This window comes from Homo sapiens, chromosome 8 (genome assembly GCF_000001405.40).
Source record: "Homo sapiens chromosome 8, GRCh38.p14 Primary Assembly".
Lineage (NCBI taxonomy): Eukaryota > Metazoa > Chordata > Mammalia > Primates > Hominidae > Homo > Homo sapiens.
Genome location: NC_000008.11, coordinates 38313318 through 38335546, shown reverse-complemented (window position 1 = coordinate 38335546; position 22229 = coordinate 38313318). Strand labels below are relative to the sequence as shown.

Below are 22229 nucleotides of genomic sequence, written 5' to 3'. Positions count from 1 at the left end.
TTAAATAAAACAATTCATGTCCACATCTAGGCCTCCAGAACTCTCTAAGAAGTTACATCATGTCAGAACTCTGGATCTTCACTTCTGTCCCCTGAGGAAAGCATACTGTTGAGATTATATAAAGAGTTTCATATTCAATTACTTTATGAAAACCTGCAGATTTCAGCTTTTTTCAAGATACAAATGAAAGCACAATTTATGTCTCATCTGTATTTCAAAGGAAGTATTTACATTTAGTTTTATTAATTAACCTAATCTCAGCTGGGCAAGGTGCCTCATGCCTGTAATCCCAGCACTTTGGGAGGCCAAGGTGGGTGGATCACCTGAGGTTAGGAGTTCAAGACCAGCCTGGCCAATATGGTGAAACCCCATATCTACTGAAAATACAAAAATTAGCCAGGCGTTTTGGCGCATGCCTCTAAGGTCTCACTCAGGTGACTGAGACAAGAGAATCACTTGAACCCAGGAGGTGGAGGTTGCGGTTGCAGTGAGCCGAGATCCACCACTTCACTCCAGTCTGGGTGACAGAGTGAGACTTGGTCTCAAAAAAAAAAAAAAAAAAAAATTCTAGCCTGGTACCCCCAGGCAGTTTCCTACTTTAGTGCTGGAAAAACCGATTTTGTTTATATTACTACCAGAAGTCTGAAATTTTAGGTTAAGAAATGCATATATTTTAACCTATATATTTTAATAAAAATTTAAATTATTTTTCTATAGTAGTTTTAAAAACTTTATTGAAATATAATTCTCATATCATAAAATTCACCTGTTTTTTTTGTTTGTTTGTTTGTTTTTGAGATGGATTGTTGCCCAGGCTGTAGTGCAGTAGCACGATCTCAGCTCACTGCAACCTCCGCCTTCCAGGTTCAAGCGATTCTCCTGCTTCAGCCTCCCAAGTAGCTGAGATTACAGGCACCCACCACCACACCGGCTAATTTTTTTTTTTTTGTATTTTTAGTAGAGACGGGGTTTCACTGTGTTGGCCAGGCTGGTCTCAAACTCCTGACCTTGTGATCTGCCTGCCTCGGCCTCCCAAAGTGCTGGGATTAAAGGCGTAAGCCACTGCTCCTGGCCAATTCACCCTTTTAAAATGTACAGTTCATTGATTTAAAAATCTGTACATTCACAGAGTTGTGCAACCATCACCACAATCTATTTTAGAACATGTTCATCAACCCCCAAAAATCCTGTATCCATTAGCAGTCACCCTCATTTCTACCCGCTAAGCAGCCAGTAACTACTTTCTGTCTCTGTAGACTTACCTATTCATCTGGCTTCATTCACTTACCATAATGTTTTTGAGGTTCATCCATGTTTTAACATGGTATCAGTGCTTTATTCCTTTTTATTGCCAAATAATATTCCATTTATGGCTATATAGTATAGTTTTAAATGCAGTAGTTTTCTGACAGTTTTTCTGAAAACCAAAAAAACACAGCCTAAAAATTCTGTTAATTATGTTCCACGCATGATGCCTATTAAGCATTTTATGCTGATCATTACTTTTTTAATAGCACATATACTGCATGTATACATGGGAGATACCCAGAGAAATGAGTGAATCTCCTGTGTTGCTTTCTATCTAAGCAACTTTGTAAAATTTATCTTAATCATATATAGTAATCACTGGTTTCCATATTGTTATTAGTCAGTATTTTTTTTTTCTTTTTTTTGAGACGGAGTCTCGCTCTGTCGCCCAGGCCGGACTGCGGACTGCAGTGGCGCAATCTCGGCTCACTGCAAGCTCCGCTTCCCGGGTTCACGCCATTCTCCTGCCTCAGCCTCCCGAGTAGCTGGGACTACAGGCGCCCGCCACCGCGCCCGGCTAATTTTTTGTATTTTTAGTAGAGACGGGGTTTCACCTTGTTAGCCAGGATGGTCTCGATCTCCTGACCTCATGATCCACCCGCCTCGGCCTCCCAAAGTGCTGGGATTACAGGCGTGAGCCACCGCGCCCGGCCATTAGTCAGTATTTTTATTAGATTCTTAGCACTGGAAAATGTACTTAACAGTTTTTCACACATAAAGATGTAATAATTATTTGTAAGAGCATGTTGAAAGATGTTTGGATCACAATTCTATTTTAAGTTGTATTTTATTATTTAGGACTCATTAAAAATTTAGCTCTTCAGTCAGAGACAGATGTGCTTGTTTCTTGACTTTTCAGGTCTGTAGCTTCTTATTTCAGTCTTATTTCATAGTTTTCCAGGTGTCAGGAAACAAAGTGCTAACAAATAGGCAAAATGTTTGTCTTGTTTCCTCTCTAGTAAATGATTTAATGGGGGAAGAAGTTGAAAATACAGATTAAAATGAAATTGTGTTATCTATAAATTTCGGCTTTTATGTTAAGTCCTTTGGGATTATCTGTTCATATCTGAAGAAATAACTCTGATGTTTGGAAACATTATGTACTATGTTTTTTTAATCTGAATACCTGTACCCACTACCCTGTCCTTGAAATTCACTTATTAGTTTAGGTTATATTTCTATTTTTCCCCCCAAAAACCCTTTGGATTTCAGATAAATCTTCTTTGACTAATTATAATTAGATTTGTGCTTGGGTCTTTATTCTCAGATGAGATGATATGAAAATCTGAGTCCACTGTTGCCTTTTTCTTCCTAATTACTTTGGGTTCTCTGAAAAGATCAGTTCCTGCATTTCTCCATTGATCTAATACTTTTTCTCTAGAACAGTATTTTTCAGACTATTTTTCGCAAAAGATCAGTTTTTTTTTACTTTTTTCAAATGTCTAGTCTACTATGTACTAATACCTCTGTAAAATACAACCAAACTTAATTATTTAAAAAAAAAAGAATGCCCTTCCCCTGAAAAAACACCTAGTGCAAGATTCTTGATCATGTGTCTAGATATCATAACAATGTCAAATTGCTGTCAGAGCTTCTCAATGCTTACTCAACTTCTGTACTTACTTTTGTCCCAGACTGGCTTGTTTGTCAAACCAATTTCAGAGTAGCATTGCCCTTAATCAGCAGTTCTCAGATGTTGTGGTCCCAGGACCCCTTTTACTCCTAAAACTTGAGGACTCAAAAAGGCTTTTGTTTACGTGGGTTATATCTAATGTTATTTAAATTTAGAAATTAAAGCTGAGATGCAGGCGCAGTGGCTCACACCTGTAATTCTAACACTTTGGGAGGCTGAGGCAAGAGGATTGCTTGAGCCCAGGAGTTCAAGACCAGCCTGGGCAACATAGCAAGACCCCATCTCAGTTTAAAGAAAAAAAGAAATTAAAGCTGAGAAAATTTCAAAATATTTATTGATTTATTTAAAAATAAGAACCTATCATAGGCTGGGGCCAGTGGCTCATGCCTGTAATCTCAGCACTTTGGGAGGCTGAGGCAGGAGGATCACTTCAGGCCAAGCGTTTGAGACCAGCCTGAGCAACATAGTAAGACTCCCATCTCTACAAAAAAAAGCAACAAAAAAATTTATTAATTAACTGAGCATGTGGCATATGTCTGTAGTCTTACCTGCTCAAGAGGCTAAGGCACAGGATTGCCTGAGCCCAGGAGTTTGAGGCTGCAGTGAGCTAGGATCATGCCACTGCAGTCCGGCCTGGGCCATAGAGTGAGACCATGTCTCTAACAACAAGAACTCCTTACATGCTATCATTAATTATATTTTTATGAAAAATGACTATTTTGTTAAAAAGTTAATGAGAAGAATGTTATTTTGTTTTGTTTTGTTTTGTTTTGTTTTGAGACAAGAGTCTTGCTCTGTCACCCAGGCTGGAGTGCAGTGGTGCAATCAATTATTTGTGGTGATTTTTACAGTAGCTATTAGTTCTATAACTGGTGGGTATTGGAACATATCTTTGGACAATCCAAACATACAAGTTTTAGTGGGAGTAATACTGAGGAACCTGGGTTAGATTCCCATTTTTGGCAAAGTAGATGTGAATGCTTATGTTCTGAAATGGTTAATAAGAATTTTTACTTACAGGTGCCCGAGAATATCATGTCCAGTTTTTTAGCAACCAGCCAGAGAGGGCGTGGGTTCATGAAAAACGGGTACGAGAGTATAAAGGTCATAAACAGTATGAAGAATTACTGGCTGAGGCAACCAAACAAGCCAGCAATCACTCTGAGAAACAAAAGGTAACTAACATGTTAATATTATTTACCTAGTATGGTTTTTAAAGAACTTAATAATTTAGAAGAATTTTTCATACTTGAATTCAGATAATTATTAGAATCCTTTTTTTAAACCCCTTTCAGCTGTTTTAATCGTAATGGTAAATGACTAGTAAGTTTGTAAGTACACCAATGAGTTTTATATGTCATATAAACGACGTATAGTACTATTAAAAACTTTAGCTACCTGCTTAATATTGAATTCTATTGTGAGTTTCATTAATGTGCATAAGTGTACCAGATGCTAGTGAAATGTGGATTTTTGCCAGGGATTTTTACTCTTTTTTCTATTTCAGCATGTTTCCATAATTTCTTTTCATTCTTGTTTAACAAAATTGTTTTATGAAAGTAAACTTTTAAAAATATTTAATGAGTGCCTATTGTGAAACAGGTATGCTTTTAAGCATTTTACATATATTAACTCACTTATTATTCATAACAACCTGTATGAGGTAGATACTATTATTCCCCTTTTTACAGATGAAGAAATTGAGGCACAGAAAGCTTATGTAACTGGTTCAACCGAGATCACACAAGTGATGGAATCAGGAAATATATTTGATGTGGTGGTGGATATTTTAGAATTTTGACATGAACTCTTGGTAATCTGGTTAAGAGTTTAAACTCAACTAAATTAGTGTGGGTCTCTTATGATTCAGAAATTTGTCATTTTTTACACTTGAAAAACTAAATTTTATCACAGAATTTTGATTAATTTTATGAGACTTACATTTTACAGATTTATATATGAATATTTGACATATGCTATCTCATAGTTTTATTAACTAATTTCTGGCTACATCAGTCTAGCCACCTGGATAATTCCTAATTGCTCTGGCCATCTCACACATCTTTATTCAAAGTATTTTTACCCCTCTTGCCAATCCAAAGTCTTCTGATTGACTCTGGACCTAGAGACCTATGGAAACTATAATTCAGGTCTACCTTTTTTCTCATCCATGCCTGTTCTCCTTTGTCTTGTTAATTTTCATTTGTTCCTTGAGGCTCTGTCCTTTCACTTCATTCTGTCCCTGCATGCATTGTGGTTCAAACTCTGCCAGTAGCTTTGTTGTGATCTCTGTAGCACCCCTGACTTGCCCTCTGCCCGAGATATGGGAGAGAATTGGGAGTTTCAGGGTATCATTTTTAATGTTAGTGTTTTATTAGCCACTGAAAATAACCATTTCTGTAATCATTGTTCTCTTTTCCCTCATTATCACTAGCTTTTTATGTATATGAGAGGAGAAGGATGTCTCCCTCTTGGGGACCTTGTCCAGCAGAGTGATCAGCAAAGGAAGGATATAAAAGAGAGTAGATCCTCATGTTATCGAATATCTTTTTATCAGAATTATGGAGATAGAACATTCCACTTGTTTGACCAAAGAACCTGAAGATATTTATGTAGACCTGAAAAGATAACAGGATCACATGGGAAATACATATCAATTTTAATGTACCTATTAGAGTAAAGCATGTCTGATAATCTCTATCTTTTTTAAAGATTCGGAAACCCCGACCTCAGAGAGAACGTGCTCAGTGGGATATTGGCATTGCCCATGCAGAGAAAGCATTGAAAATGACTCGAGAAGAAAGAATAGAACAGTATACTTTTATTTACATTGATAAACAGCCTGAAGAGGCTTTATCCCAAGCAAAAAAGAGTGTTGCCTCCAAAACCGAAGTTAAAAAAACCCGACGACCAAGATCTGTGCTGAATACTCAGCCAGAACAGACCAATGCAGGGGAGGTGGCCTCCTCACTCTCAAGTACTGAAATTCGGAGACATAGCCAGAGGCGGCACACAAGTGCGGAAGAGGAAGAGCCACCGCCTGTTAAAATAGCCTGGAAAACTGCGGCAGCAAGGAAATCCTTACCAGCTTCCATTACGATGCACAAAGGGAGCCTGGATTTGCAGAAGTGTAACATGTCTCCAGTTGTGAAAATTGAACAAGTGTTTGCTCTTCAGAATGCTACAGGGGATGGGAAATTTATCGATCAATTTGTTTATTCAACAAAGGTACCTCCTTTTTTCGTGGAGTTTTTTGGGGGATGGTATTTTAAAAGTGGTCAACCTTGGCATTTAAAACAATGACCTTGGCATAATTTAAATACCCTTTCTACCCACTGAATTTGAAACATACAGTCATTGTACTCTGTGGGCAAAAAAGACAGGCAAAAAGGCTATGTTTTTCTTCTTTTTTATCCCCTTCTTTTGTGATTTTCCCATCTGTAGTAGATTAGTCTTGAGCTGTGCAGCCAAAATTGAGCTTAGCTCCCTAAAGTCATGGAAAAAAACTGGGCACTTTGCCTGTTTCTAGTTTGCGTAGTTAGCTTTTCTTAGTTGCAAAGTGTACTTCTTATTAAAATCATTTTTGTCAATTATATGAATTAACCATTGTTATAAAAACCACTGTAATAATTGTACCTGCTGACCTGTTTGGTTCCACCAGCAATTTTGTTAGATTCTTATGGGCTTGCGATATCTAACTGCCTTTCAGAGAATCCCAGAACTGTGTTTGTTCTGTAACAATTAGCTGTGGCAATAACTTGGGTAATGGGGTAAAAACAGCCTCTACAAACTGTGTGCCTTCATCAGTTTGTCCTGGGCCTCCATTTAGGGCACTTATACTTTAGCTTGAAGACTTTAAAACTCTTCCATAATATTGGTAGGTATTTATTCCGTGTACCTCTTCACTACCATCCCATCCCATCCCACTGTGTTGAGTTTGTGATTCTGATTTAGTTGCATTTCATTCATGTGTATTAAAGAATTCTATGCTTATTTTTTCCTAATATAGTCATATGCAGATTAATTAGTTAAACAGGGGAATGCTTAATTAGTAATACATCTTCCTAGAGAAATGTCAAGGGTGCTCTTTTAACCTGGTCTGCCCATAGGTTCAGCTGACTTCAGTTAAGGCCAAGCTACCTGCAAAAACTTGAATTGCAGTCCCCACTTGGTTCTCTTGATAGCAAATGAATATTTTTCATCTTTCAAATAGCAAATGAGTATGTTGCATCTTTTTTGAGTACAAATTGGCTTTATTCTTGGAGCTAGTTTTACTGCTTCTGATGCACAAGTCAAACTTTGTCACTACCACCCCAAAGAATGCTATTTAAAGGAAATTCAAGATAAAACTGATCTTTTCAAAATGAAGACTCTAAAAATATATGCATGTATATATTTATATTTATTTTTTTCCTTTTTAAGAGATGAGGTCTCACTCTGTGGCCCAGGCTGGAGTGCAGTGGTCAATAATAGCTCACTGCAGCCCCAAGGGATCTTCTGCCTTGGCCTTCCAAAGCACTGAGATTACAGTCATGAGCCACTGTGCCAGACCTTTTAAAAATTTTTTGTAGAGACAGGGTCTCACTATGGTGCCCAGGCTGGTCTTGAACTCCTGGCCTCTAGCTGTTCTCCTGCCTCAGTCTCCCAAAGTGTTGAGATTACAGGCAGGAGCCACGGTGCCTGGCCAAAAAAATACATATATGTTTATAAATCACTTCTTTACTTCTATTCCATTGCATTAAAAATACCTAAAAGGAGACCTAAGTTAATTATACCTGCCTTCTTTCTGCTTCGGATTACTTATTGGGTCACATTTTGGTCACCATGAGTGACATATTTCTGTATCTAGGGGTATTCTTGTCTCTTAAGACATATTGGCATTTTTTTCTGTGTAATAGAGCACTTTACCAAATGCAAATGACTAGAGTTCTCTTACTGTGATATGTATAAAGACCAGAAAATATTTTGTTTTTATAGAAAATTGAGTGATACAGGTATATTTTTTAGTGACATTTATCACCTAGACTTAGACAAATACTCTACCTCACGTGATCTTACTGTGCATTTTAAAATGTATCTTGGAATTAGCTGGGCATGGTAGCACATGCCTGTAGTCCCAGCTACTCGGGAGGCTGAGGCAGAATTACTTGAACCTGGGACGAGGCAGAGGTTGCAGTGAGCCAAGATCACACCACTGCACTGCAGCCCAGGTGACAGAGCCAGATTCCATCTTAAAAAAAAATTTTTTTTGGCCGGGTGCGGTGGCTAACGCCTGTAATCCCAGCACTTTGGGAGGCCAAGGTGAGCAGATCACCTGAGGTCAAGAGTTCGAGACCAGCCTGGCCAACATGGTGAAACCTCATCTCTACTAAAAATACAAAAAAAAAAATTAGCAGGGCGTGGTGGCACGCATCTGTATTCCCAGGTACTTGGGGAGGCTGAGGCAGGAGAATCACTTGAACCCAGGTGGTAGAGGTTGCAATGAGCCAAGATCACACCATGCACTCCAGCCTGGGCGACAGAGGGAGACTTCTTCTCAAAAAAAAAAAAAATTGTTTTTAATTTTTAAAAAAAGTATCTTGATCACTTAATCAAATTTCTGATAAAGGCTAAGATAACTTAATTGCAATCAAAGACCATATAAAATTTAAGCAAATTATGATCATTTTAAGCCATCTTTATAAGCCCATGATGCCACTTGCCTGGTAATCACCTGTTTTGTTGTTTTTTCTTTTGCCTTATTTTAAAGGGAATTGGTAACAAAACAGAAATAAGTGTCAGGGGGCAAGACAGGCTTATAATTTCTACACCAAACCAGAGAAATGAAAAGCCAACGCAGAGTGTATCATCTCCTGAAGCAACATCTGGTTCTACAGGTTGGTATGAATGAAAAGTATATATAGGTCCATTTTGAGAAATCCTTGTTCTGTTCTGCTATAATGTGGTAGCTGTGTTTCTAAGAAACTCTTAGTTATCAAAAGTAAATTATATTTAAAAATCAAAATATAAAAGCAGTTACTTTAATAGGAAAGTGGGTTAGGGGCTAGAGAACTTTATTCATAGCAAGTTATTTTTTGTACAAGAATTAAAATAATAGGGTTCTATAATTAAAAGTGTATAGCTATAAAACTCTATATGTATCTGAGTAAATACACCATCGACTATCTCTCTTTGCATAATAACAGCTTTACTTTTCCCACTCTATTAGCACACACATACCATTTCCTCCTTTACCCCTGTTGGAAACAAATGGCTGATGCCAAAGCTCTTGTCATTATTCCTAGTTGTGCTAGATACTAGTAGCTGAGGGGCCTAGAGCCTAATTGTCCTAATGTAACCTGTTTTCTGATTAGCAGACACCATGAATTGAAAATCAAGCCATGTTATTCTTGCTTAAAGGAGAAGTGACTGTATTCAGTAAGATTGTGCCTTTGGAATGTTTAACTTTTTTTTTTTTTGAGACAGAGTCTCACTCTGCCACTCAGGCTGGAGTGCAGTGGCTCAATCTCGGTTCGCTGCAACCTCCACCTCCCAGGTTCAAGCGATTCTCCTGCCTCAGCCTCCTGAGTAGCTGGGATTACAGGGGCATGCCAACACACCCAGCTACTTTTTGTATTTTTAGTAGAGACAAAGTTTCACCATGTTGGCCAGGCTAGTCTCCAACTCCTGACCTTGTGATCTACCTGCCTCGGCCTCCCAAAGTGCTGGAATTACAGGCATGAACCACCACGTCTGGCCTTTTTTTTTTTGAGACGGGGTCTCACTCTGTCATGCAGAGTGGAGTACAATGGTACGATCATGGCTCACTGCAGCCTCGACCTCCCAGGCTCAGGTGATCCTCTCACCTCAGCCTCCTAGGTAGCTGGGACCACAGGCATGCACCATGATACCTGGCTAAGTTTTTGTACTTTTTGCCATGTTGCCCAGGCTGGTCTCGAACCCCTGGATTCAAGCGATCTACCTGCCTCGGCCTCCCAGTGTGCTGGGATTATAGGCGTGAGCCATTGCACCCAGCCAACATAATTTTTTTGAGACTAACTTACTAAGGATTTTAGAGTTTCAATTGAATGTCTGGTGGGTTTGGTTTATGTAACAGTATTATATTAGTAGTATTTCTGTAATACTGCTTGCTTCATATAGCCATCAAGAAAAGAGTTAAGTATTAACTAGCGTGTTCATTTGGAATCTTAGTTTAGAAGAAAGGAGTTTGTTTCATTTTGTTCTTTAAAAATTTGTTTTGAATCTAAGAAGCGACTATAGTAGAAAAAAAAGTTAAACTATTTTCTGAACGTACTTATAGACCCATATATGGGTTTCTTTGTTTTCCCACACTGACCAGCTGGGTGTCCTATGATTCAATTTGATTCTCACACTATCTCCCTGGTGTTAGAGTCCAATCCCTCAGGTTAAGCGCTCAATCCTATGAGACTGCCCCCACTTCAGATGTCAGTTGCAAGTCTGGGGCTTCAGAGCTTCTGACTGACCAGCTATAAATTGGAGGTTCTCGTGACCCCCTCCTTGGGTTTAGTCATTTGCTAGAGCAGCTCACAGAACTCAGACAAGCCCTTTCTTTACATTTACTGGTTCATGATAAAGCATATGGCAAAAGATACAGATGAACAGCCAGATGGAAGAGATGCACAGGGCAAGGTATATGGAAAGGGCTGTAGAGCTTCCATGCCCTCTCTGGCCATGCCACCCTACAGGCACCTTCGTGTGTTCAGCAACCTGGAATTTCTCCAAACCCTGTAGCTCAGGGATTTTTATGGAGGCTTTATCATGTAGGCATGATCAATTATTAACTCAGTCTTCAGCCCCACTCCCCTTCTCGGAGGATGGGGGGGTGGAGCTTAAAGCATCTAATCATAGCTTGGTTTTTCTAGTGACTAGCCCCCAACTAGGAACCCACCAAGAGTTGCCTCTTTAGAGCAAAAAACACTTATATTATGCAGGAAATTCCAAGTAGGAGCTCTGTGCCAGGAACCAGGGGCAGAGATCAAATATATGTTTCTTATCATATCACAATATCACAGTGACCAAGTAATTTTCTGGATGGATCAAAGTCTTAAGACCTGAAGTGGTAATCTTGAATCAGTAGTAACTCAGGCAAACCTGTGACTGAGTGGCATAAAGTGTAAATATTTTTGTAAGGGAAATTTAAATAAGATTCTAATTATTATAATAGCAAAGTAAAAAAAAATCACTGTTCACAAAAGTACTTGGGCTAGCTTTCTTAAAAAGAAAATAATGGGAGCTGCAGGACAGGGAGAGGTAATGCCAGTGGAGATGCAGCACATGTTGGATGGGGCATTTTAAACAGCCTTTTTCAATATGGAATTGGGAAGGAAAGTTGAGTTAAAGAAAGGAGGGAGTGAATAGCAAAGTCCAGTACTACATTTGCAACTTGTATCATTTCAAAATACTTTATAAAAAGATGAACTTACAATGTCAAAGGAATGAGTAGATGGACTTAGAAGATTTCATATTAGCCATAATTGAGAATGTTCCCTTCTTTGAATATTAAAAGAATCTTTTGGCCTCCACTTTCCAAATTAGGTATGTCAGTTTTGTTACCTCTTTACACTAAATGATTAGTAATTTGTCTGAATTTAAATGGGATACCTAGGAGGATCTTTATTTGAAATCAGCAGTTTCCTAAGGAGAAAGTAAATTCTTCCTATATTAGACTGATCTTAACTCAAATATTATGCTTTTATTTTGGATGGAGCTTGTTTTTCTTTCTCCTCTGAAAGTTACTGAATTTTTTTTTTTTTTTTTTTTTTTGAGACAGGGTCTTGCACCCAAGTTGAAGTGCAGTGGTGTGATCTTAGTTCACTGTAACCTTAAACTCCTGGACTCCAGAGATCCTCCTACCTCAGCCTCCTGGAGTAGCTGAGACTACCCAGTGCCTGCCACCATGCTTGGCTAATTTATTTTATTTTTATTTTTTGTAGAGATGAGTGTCTCACCTTGTTCCCCAGGCTGGTCTCGAACTCCTGGGCTCAAACGATCCTCCTGTCTTGCCCTCTTGAAGTGTTGGGATTACAGACATGAGTCGCTGTGCCCAGCCTGAACATTTTCTTTTTATATAGTATTTTCATTGTAAGATTTAATCTCTGCTATGAATATTTCCTTTTTTTCTTAAGTGGAAGGTTATACTTCTTTATATCTGGAAAAAGGCAGTGTTGTTTTTTGCTTAAGCAGGAACGTAGAATTTAGGTTGTAAATTAAGATTGAAAACTTAATTTAGGGCCAGGTATGGTGGCTCACACCTGTAATCCCAGCAGTTTGGGAGGCTGAGGCAGGCGGATCACAAGGTCAGGAGTTTGAGATCACCTGGCCAACATGGTGAAACCCTGTCTCTACAAAGGTACAAAAAAAAAATTAGCTGGGCATGGTGGCGCACGCCTGTAATCCCAGCTACTCAGGAGGCTGAGGCAGGAGAATCGCTTGAACCCTGGAGGCGGAGGTTGCAGTGAGCCAAGATCGCGCCATTGCACTCCAGCCTGGGTGACAGGGAGAGACTCCGTCTCAAAAAAGAAAAGAAAAGAAAAGAAAAAAAACTTAATTTAGGGACTGGTGCTCTAAAGCTTTGAGCTTGTTTGAAGTTTGGTTAACAGCTGTGGTTGATAAGCATACCTTGTCTTTTTAAGTGACCATTTTGCTTTTTGTGAAAATAACTTCAGTAGTTGAAAAGTCAAAATAGAAACTTGTTCACCCTTCAGAAACCAATTGCATCATCTCAGCTGATGTTAACTGCTTAAGGAAATTATTGAGCCTTTTCTTAGTAAATTTCAGGGATATATAAAATGTTTGGCACTGTCACATTTTTGTCGTTTGAAGAACTGTACTTGTATTCACACTAGATTTCAAAGTTATTTTCCAAACCCAGAAATGCTCACCTCCTCTTTCTTAGAACATGAACATAATACTCTTCAATGGTTTTAAATGTATATGTTCTTTGGGTAACTTTCAGAATAATTTTAAGAAATCATGTTGCTTTATCCTCTATAAGACAGTAAATCAAATCTCATCTGCTCTTCATGGTGTGATTATATTACCCTCAACACAAGTAAATATTTTTTTGTTCGTTTTTAAGCAATTCCATTTTCATTTTTGCCCTTCCTAGTAGTAGTTGAATATTGACACTTTAATACTAAAGTATGGATCTCGGATCCTCAGGTTGGTCTGGGAGGGTAGCATATCTGCTGTCTTAGTAAACATTTTCGTCAGTGTAAGGAGAAGAGTGAGAGTAAAGAAAGGAGCCAATACCTTTATTTGTGATTACTATAAATCGATTAACCACAGCTCTAAAACAATATATTGTTATCAAACTACCCGCTCCTTCCCAAAAACAAAACAAAGTAGTGGGATCCTTCATTTTGGCTTTGAACTAAAGTGAGGGAAGTCATTTATACATAGCCAAGAGCAATGAAACCAGAAAATATAAAGGTTATATGAAAGGCTTTATAGATAGAGCTTCTATCTGATTTTATAGGTCTTAGTGGCTTCTTCCTATGGCAAGCCAGAGGTGATTATGATTTAGGAAGGAATACGTAGGTGGTCCAGGCACTGAAAACATGGAGAACAGCTGCACTGCAGGTATCATTCCTCCTCAGGCTCACAGAATGAAATCATTCCTGACAATGTTCTTTCAAGTTGTGTTCTTCAATTTCAGTTTTATCCTTTCCAAAAATGGGGTCCATGTGAGTTTTCTTCAATTCGCTTTTAAAGAATTGTACTCTTTAAAAATCTTAATAGTTTGTTTTACCATTTAACATGAAAAAGCTTGATAATTTGTTTCAACTAGTTTTCCACGACTAATTATTTCCAGAGTATAACAGATCCCTTGATAGTCAAATTAATGATTAGGTTTTGGTCACATTTTTTGCCTTCCCTGCTTTTCCTGCTTTTGTTATTAATAACAACAGCAAAACTTACATAAGTGCAACAAGCACTGTTAACCATTTTATGTATAGAATTAATTAAACTCATTTGTTAAAATGCAGAATGTGTGGCACTGATTGAATTTTGAACCAATAATTTCTAACATCAGGTGGATAATAAAGTTTATTTTTATGCATCCTTCAGTCCCTTCATTCCCTAATTATATTTACCTAAAGATGTTTATGTGCCTTTAAAACTAATGTGTCTGCTGTTTTAGTTTGACTTTTCAATTTTTAAAAAACCAATCCCCCTTTATTTGTATAATTTAGGACCCTTTGTGAATCCCAGTCTCAGCTTATCAGCCTTTACAATTTGATCTGTTAAATAATTTATATGCTCCTGAATGTTTAGCATTTTTTAATGATTTTAATTAAAATTCCAAAAGTAATGGGTAAGAAAAGCAAGGAATGTGGTCATATCTTAATTACATAGATGTCAAGGTATCCTTAAGTGAGTTTTTGTTTGTGTGTTTAAATCATTTCTTAGGCTCAGTAGAAAAGAAGCAACAGAGAAGATCAATTAGAACTCGTTCTGAATCAGAGAAATCCACTGAGGTTGTGCCAAAGAAGAAGATCAAAAAGGAGCAGGTTGGCTTCCTACATGTAGAGAGTTAAAACATTGTATTTGTAAATGTTGTGGCTTACATTCCTGTCTTAAAAGAAAGAGAAACTTTCCCCCACACTGAGTTTCCTTTCTGGACTATCTTAACGCTTCTGTCCTGGTGGGTTCCAGTGCTCAGTTTTAATACAGCCATCCCTGTGATTCTGCTTCAAGCATTTTCACAGAAAACAGGTTTCAGGAGATGGGAAGCCAGTGGTGCAAGACTTAAAAAATCCTTCACATTTATTTAGAAGTTTCTGTTATCAGCAGAATGATTTCATGTTTTTATGATTTTTATTTGGAACCATCATTGAGTTCCTTTTTTTTTTTTTAAGTTTGATTTTTGGTTTAAGCTGCTGGTATATATTGTTTTTTATTTTTTAAACAAATCAATTTAATTTATATTCTTATATTTAAGAAGCAGATATTCATAGATGATCTGTTTTTTCTGTTAATATCGCAGATTTTTTGGAATGTTATTTTCCCAGTGGAATATTCACCTGATATCAGGTTGTCAGATAAATAATATTTAGGTAAAAAAAGGTGTGTGGGGGGGTTGCATTTTGACTGAAGTGTATTAAACCAGTGTAATCAATGTAGTAAGATACATTTAAATCAACTTTTCAAATAAAATTTTAGAAGCCATTCTTCTTTAAATTAAACTCACAATCAGATTTTTTCTTAATTTTTTTGTTAAAGAATATCCATTCTTACAGCCTAAACACCTGCTAGCAAACAAAACAAATTCTGAATAGAATTAGTTCCAATAAGTTTTATATTTTTTAAACCATTTATATGGAAGAATGTGAGCTTTTCTATTTAAAATATTTCCTTCATGATTTTAAACTTCCAAATTTAAAAGCTAACTTTGTGGGTGCTCTGTGGTATCACCAAGCAAGTGAAACAGTTTTTCCAGAATATTTAACTAAAATTTAAATAGTATACTAATTTGTCATTCATTTATCATATTAACTTTCATATTTCATACTTAGGAAATTATATTCCAAAAAATCTTTCTAAGCTCTTGAAAATCTATAGTTATTCATTACCAAAATGAAGTTGTGATTTTGCCAGCTGGTTCCCAAAATCAGTCTGTGACCAGTCAGTTTTAAACTAATAAGCAGAATGAGTATAAAAAGTGGGACAAATTGTTAATGCCACTGTGTTATAGTTAGTAGTAGAACAATACCAGTGATTGTTTAGAAGATTTTATATTTGTATTACTAATTGTATCTTATAAAAGCGTTTCTGTTGTATGTTTTTTTACCTGTTGTAAAAAAAATAAAATTTTTTTTAAAAAGCTTAGAACAATCCTTAAATATTTACAAAATGTGTTTCAACATTCATATTTCACCACATCTTAAAGAAACATGAAATTCAATTTATAGCTTAAACAGGAACTCCTCCAAACAGCCTCCTTTCTCTAATTCCAATGGTTCAATCCTCAAATTACCACGTGTTTTACATATACATTGGCAGAATAACTTCTGATCTCGCTCTCCTAATGTAGGATCAAGACACTGTTCATAAGACACTCAAGAAAGTGCTTTTGCAATATCACAAACTTATTTTCTTAAGTTTGTACTAGCAGCAAAAGTATTGAGCTTCCAGCTGTATGGAGCCCTGTAGCACTCTCTACAGAGAGGGTCCTGATTCCCAGCAACTTAGCTGTGAGTGCAGGCGCGGAAGGGTCTTAAAGTGGCGTGAGTTACATTAACCTGAGTATCATAGTAAGTAAAAATTTATCCTAACGTCTTTGGGGCGGGAGGGGTTTTTAGCAACATTGGGGCCGGTTGCAGAAACAACCCCTCTCCTGCCTTCCAGACACTGAGGAAAGTATTCTTGTTCTCTTCATATACCAAGGGAATGGTGGGAAAAGTCTTTGCTAGAGAGCATGTGGCTGTGTGTTGTCACTTGATATTCAGCACAGGCAGCTAGGATTTAAACCCTCCCTGATCTTGAGACAGAGAACTTTACCCAAAAGATGGGACTGAGTTCAGATTTCAGATACATTAATCACTCATCATTGCTTAGATTGATGAAAGTATCTTTTCCCTCTGTTAATAATTAAAAGGGAAAAAAATTCTTTGTTAATGCTGTATTTTTCTGTCCAAACAGGTTGAAACAGTTCCTCAGGCTACAGTGAAGACTGGATTACAGAAAGGTGAGTTAATATTATAATGTTGCTTTGCATTTCCTTGATTAAAACCAATTTTTAAGAATTATTTGTACTTCATGTATTTTTGTCTGTCTCTGTAAATCGTTGTTGCTCTTCAGTGTGAAATTGCAGTATTCCCCAGTGTTCGTGTGTGTGTGTGACTTTTAGAGTTGATCTTATTCTGTACCTCCACGTGAAAAGTCTTACTTGTTTTGGTAAATTGGAGAACACAACGTAGACTTGATACTGTTTCCAACTTTTCTCCATAAGATTCTGGGGTTTCACTGGCTTATAAACTAGGGATGTGACGAATCCACTTTTTTTGGTATTCGACTGAATACCGAATAGTAGCTATTCATGTTTGTCAAACATGGACTATGACAAATCAGACAAGACAAGCTGATTGAAAAAATCTTGCCACATTTATTTTTACAGTGCTGTAAAATCTTTTTGTAAATTAAAATGATTCATAGCATTTATGGCCACTATTAGATGACCTTATGCGAATCTATTTGAGATATGCACAAAGTTTAAGAAAGCTTAAACTTATATCTGTATTTTCTGTGTGCAATTTGACTACAGTACAAACTCCATAGCATGATTCGTGCGTTTTTGGTGAGATCAAACTGTATTTAATACCTGTAGTTTACTCTGGGCAAATTGCATTATTTAAAAATAAAATAAAACAACAGCCTCTCTGCATTCTCGGGGAGAAGTCTGCAGCGATGGTCTCCGTGGAGATCCTCAGCAGAACTGAACAGCCTCTCGGAGGGAACACTGCTTGGCGGAGCTCCAAGAAAAGACATCGCGATCGCTGCGAGATTAGGAGGCCTGATTGCGTTGTGTTTCCACCATTCCACAGGGTCGGCGGACCGGGGAGTGCAGGGCTCTGTCAGATTCAGTGACAGCTCCGTCTCCGCAGCGATTGAGGAAACTGTGGACTGAGATTCCTGTACAATTTCATCCCAGAAACTCCAGACTTGTAGTCTCCATGCAAGATTTCTTTGTCGGCGGCTTGATAAACAGTTTCTTTGTTTTCGATTTTGATTTCGCCAATCATCATTATTGGCATTTTCCTGCCTGGTTTCTTCTTCAAGACTCTGAACAATTGCTTTAACAGTCAAATGATTTTTTTTTTTCGGTTTGAGCTGGATGGGTACAGCTTAAATCATGGGTCCAGCCTAAAAACCACCATTTAACTTACACTGATCAATTTCAACATGGACTGTTTTTGGTTTTTTGTTTTTAAATAAAGCATCATTAATGCACATCTGCAGGGGTTTGCCAAACAGCCCAAACTGTATACATTACAATCATTAAAAGTTCTTATTTTTTTTAATATTAGTGCCGTTATCATGGAGAACAGCATGACAGCTGTCTTTGGCAGTCTGTCATTTTTCTAGCATTTTCAGAAACTCATCGGAAATGGCGGTACCTGTGTTTCCCTTCGAAAGCCTCTCAGTACAGCACTCCTGTTCCTCTGTTAAAACTCCTTGTTAATCCAGTGATCTTTTAGGCCAAGGAAATATTTTGTGATGGTGTTCTGGGTCCATACACCAGCAATGAAGGAGATAGATTTGTGTACTTGTGTTTTTTAATCAGCATTAACATGGGCAGGCACCCTCATTTATAGATGTCAGGAAACATTCAGTGAAAAACTTGTAGAATGGGATGTGATAACGAGGTTCCAGTAATCTGAGCAGTCTAACGAGGCCCACCTCCTCCACCACAGAACGTGGCTATGTTCCAAGTGCTACTCTCACTCAGCCTGTTGCGGATCTTCATGGCCTCAGGAGACTTGTTTCTCCATGGGCTCTTCTGGACTGCACACTTCCACCATAGCTTGCTGGGTTGATCTAGATGTCTGTTTGTTGTATGGAAATTTTGGGGGAAAAAATCCAAAACACAAACTGTGGGTTGAAATATTAACCGTCTCCTTGGTTCCTTGGTATTCACCGTGCCTGATCTGCACATTTCATCGTGGCTGTTTCTGTATAGCCTATACTGCATTAGCCCAAGAGATTGTTGCTTTGTAACTTTTTGCACTATTGTTTTGGCTGGATTTGTATTACACACAGTTTTAAAAAAAACAATTCCACACTATTCTCTGCCTTTTTTTTCCTATTTATTTCTTCCCGCACAAATTCCACATAGAGGCCTTCCCATCCAGCTCTACGTGATTTGGCTGCACTTGAACACTGATTGTCCATTTACAGCCCTCAGCAATGTGCCTTCTAAATGGCATGACATATGTAGATGTGCTGCAGCGCTTGTTAATGGTCACAATAAATGCCACTTCACCAAGGAAGTCTCAGATGAACAATTATGAACATCCAAATTTTATTGGGGGGCAATAATCAACTGAATTGCAAAATTTGGGGGAAAATGGCACTATCCGTGTACGAATCGAATACAAATCAAAGATTTGTCACATCCCTAATAAAAACAAGATGGAGATGTCTCTGCAACCATATTTGTAAGCTACACAGTGTGTTGGGTTTTATGTCTTCCCCCTCCAAATTGAATGGTTCTTTGAATTGCTCCAAATCCATCAGCTATCCTGCAATTTTCATAGAATTGATTTTTAGGTTGGAACGTGGGCTCTGTTGACTGAAAATAGCTTTAGAGAGGAGAACTGAATTAAATGTTTTGATAGAGCGGTTGTAAATTAAATCAGTCACTACCAGGAAGGTCAGAAGTTCTGAAGTTTTGACTCATTATTTCAGTGTTACAAAGAGAGCTATGCTTTTTCCACACTAAAGATGAGTTTGAGAAAAGAAAATATTCTCCCACACACAAAAAAATTAAAACAAACCTTAAGTACTATTTTAGGATTAATTTCAGTGTGTTGTATTAAGGTGCCAGCGAGATTTCAGATTCCTGTAAACCTCTAAAGAAAAGGAGTCGCGCCTCAACTGATGTAGAAATGACTAGTTCAGCATACAGAGACACATCTGACTCCGATTCTAGAGGACTGAGTGACCTGCAGGTAAATATGTGCAAGGGTCTGGACAAAGTGTTCTTTCTTGAACATAATGCTTTTCCCTTATTTATTTGGGGAAATCAGGACATTTTAAAAATACTCATAGAAAAAAATCACTTTGTTTATTTTGAGTGTCTTAATTCTTTTGCTCTCATGTTATATAACAAAACTATAGTTTGTTTGTAATTTTAACTACAGTTTTTCCCAAAACAGCAGACCTATGATATCTGTGGATTTTGGAAAGAAAGGAAGGAAAAAGGTGGTTGTGTCAAGATCTAATGTTTGAGCAAGTCTTACTAGGATTTTCATAGCATCTTATCTTGGAGGGAATTTTCATTTTGTTTTTCTTAAAAATGCTATGTTTTCTATGTAGGTAGGCTTTGGAAAGCAAGTAGATAGCCCTTCAGCTACTGCAGATGCAGACGTTTCTGATGTGCAGTCCATGGATTCAAGTTTGTCGAGAAGAGGCACTGGAATGAGTAAGAAGGACACTGTATGTCAGGTAGGCAGGTAACTGGTGCTATGGCTTGAAATAATTGCTATTATATTCTGCCAGTAATAGACTTAACTCCTGTTGAAGAGGATAATATGTTTCCAAATTATTATGATATTACTTTAAAGCTACAGATATAAAACCTCTTTGTGGTTCTTTTTTTCCCTTTCTGAGTTGGAATACTTACCCACATGCCAATCTTTAGTGTGATATACTATAATTAATTGGAAGTAAATGGCAGATGACTGATTGGAAAAACTTTCTTAAATTCAAAATTTTAAAGTAATAACTTTCTCAGTGTATTTTTACCGTTCTTGAAAAAATACTGCTTTGCCCTGTGAAGAAAACTTAAATATGCAGATCCCAAAGAAGGAATCCTAAAAGATCAAGTATGACTTTAAACTTTATACCATATTGTATCTGGAAATACTGTAATTGTCTAGTTCTCTGGTTCTCAAAGTGAAGGCCAAGGACAAACAATATCAGCATCTTCTGGATACATATTAGAAATGCACATTCTTGGGGCCCCCGCCAGACCTACTGAATCACAGTCTGTGGGTGAGGGACCCGGTAATTTGTGTTTAACAAGCCGCCCATGTGGTCTTGATGTTTGCCAAAGTTTGAGAACCACTGCTTTTTGCCATATTACAGATTTGTGAAAGCTCTGGTGACTCTCTGATTCCTTGTGAGGGAGAGTGCTGCAAACACTTTCACCTGGAGTGCCTGGGATTGGCATCACTTCCTGATAGCAAGTTCATCTGCATGGAATGTAAAACTGGTAAGATGACTTATTTCGATAGTCATGAAAAGATGAATGGGATTGTGCCAGGAATGTGCACTGACAACCTCTCCTAGGACATCTTGTTCCCATCACTTTTATTAGCCCTCCTCCTCTCTTCCCAAAGGTATTTCAACAAATTAAGATTTGGCTTCAAGATTTAAAAAGTAGTTAAATTTCCTCCTACTGGTGCCTTCTACCATAAAACCTGTCAAATTACCAAGATGAATTTGTGTTTTATCTAAAGAGTTATATAAAGTATGTTAATTGAGTTATTTTTCAGATGGATTTGAGATTTTGGGGGCTCAATAAATTGGTTTAAAGTTCTTTAAGAGACTGGAAGAAGTATCAGTGCATAACTACAGTGATTATATTTCTAGTGGAAATTTGGAGCTACTGGAAATCATTTTTTAAACTTGGGATTCACCATTTATTTCTTATCTCACTATACATAGACTACCACCTACTAAAATAATTTGTAGAGAAATAAATATGCTAGTTTATATTTCTTCTCTCTGTAGCCATAATTCTGGTTAATATCATGGAAAGCAAGTCGTAGTTGTTTAATCTGTCACAACATGGCAAATTAAAAATAACTGGAGATGACATGGTGGTGCTTCTAGGAAACATGTTGATGTGTTTTTTGTTTTGCTTTGTTTTAGCTATGAGGAACTAAGCCAATCAGATAGCAAGTGTACATGATATGCTGATCTTACCTTTGACTCTTTATTATTTTTCTACTCCTTCTTTTCCTTTTATTTGGATTCTTACAGATATTTATTTTATCTTTTCTTATTTGATTGTATGCCTCCTAAAATCTTTCAGACAAAAAGTTAGTAATTTTTTTTTTTTTTTTTTTGAGACAGAGTCTCGCTCTGTCGCCCAGGCTGGAGTGCAGTGGCACAATCTAGGCTCACCGCAAGCTCCGCCTCCCAGGTTCACGCCATTCTCCTGCCTCAGCCTCCCGAGTAGCTGGGACTACAGGTGCCTGCCACCACGCCTGGCTAATTTTTTGTATTTTTAGTAGAGACGAGGTTTCACCATGTTAGCCAGGATGGTCTCGATTTCCTGACCTCGTGATCAGCCTGCCTTGGCCTCCCAAGTAATTTTTTTTTTTAACTGAACACTGACTTACTAAATGTTAGGTGCTACAAGTACTAAGCATTTTCTCCTGCTATTTCATTTGATCCATGATGAGATAGGTACTATTATGATTTCCATTATGCAGAAGGAGAAACAGGATTAGAGAGTTTAATAGCTTCCCCAAAGTCACAAAGATAGCCCATGATGACTCTGTGATTTAAACCCAGGCAGCTGGACTCCAGATTT

At 37.6% G+C, this 22229-nt stretch overlaps 1 protein-coding gene across 2 annotated transcripts in view, besides 1 other annotated feature; it reads left to right on the top strand.

Annotated features, from left to right (window-relative positions):
• Positions 1–3961: part of a mitotic recombination region, noted in NCBI's record as "NUP98-NSD3 recombination region recombines with the NUP98 (NSD3) recombination sub-region within the nucleoporin 98kDa recombination region", that runs on past the window's edge. NCBI's record gives the evidence for it as "EXISTENCE:nucleotide sequencing assay evidence [ECO:0000219][PMID:11986249]" and "EXISTENCE:Southern hybridization evidence [ECO:0000078][PMID:19380029]".
• NSD3 (nuclear receptor binding SET domain protein 3) overlaps positions 1–22229 on the top strand; it is a 112568-nt gene that overhangs the window by 46725 nt on the left and 43614 nt on the right. The window contains exons 5-12 of one of the 2 annotated variants that reach the window (NM_023034.2): positions 3962–4116; positions 5654–6169; positions 8691–8817; positions 14375–14475; positions 16607–16652; positions 19505–19635; positions 20003–20131; positions 20774–20900. In NM_023034.2, the coding sequence (NP_075447.1) occupies positions 3962–4116; positions 5654–6169; positions 8691–8817; positions 14375–14475; positions 16607–16652; positions 19505–19635; positions 20003–20131; positions 20774–20900 (1332 nt within the window). Of the gene's footprint in view, positions 1–3961; positions 4117–5653; positions 6170–8690; positions 8818–14374; positions 14476–16606; positions 16653–17508; positions 19131–19504; positions 19636–20002; positions 20132–20773; positions 20901–22229 lie in introns of those variants that run through there. The other variant, NM_017778.3, reaches the window with a different exon arrangement.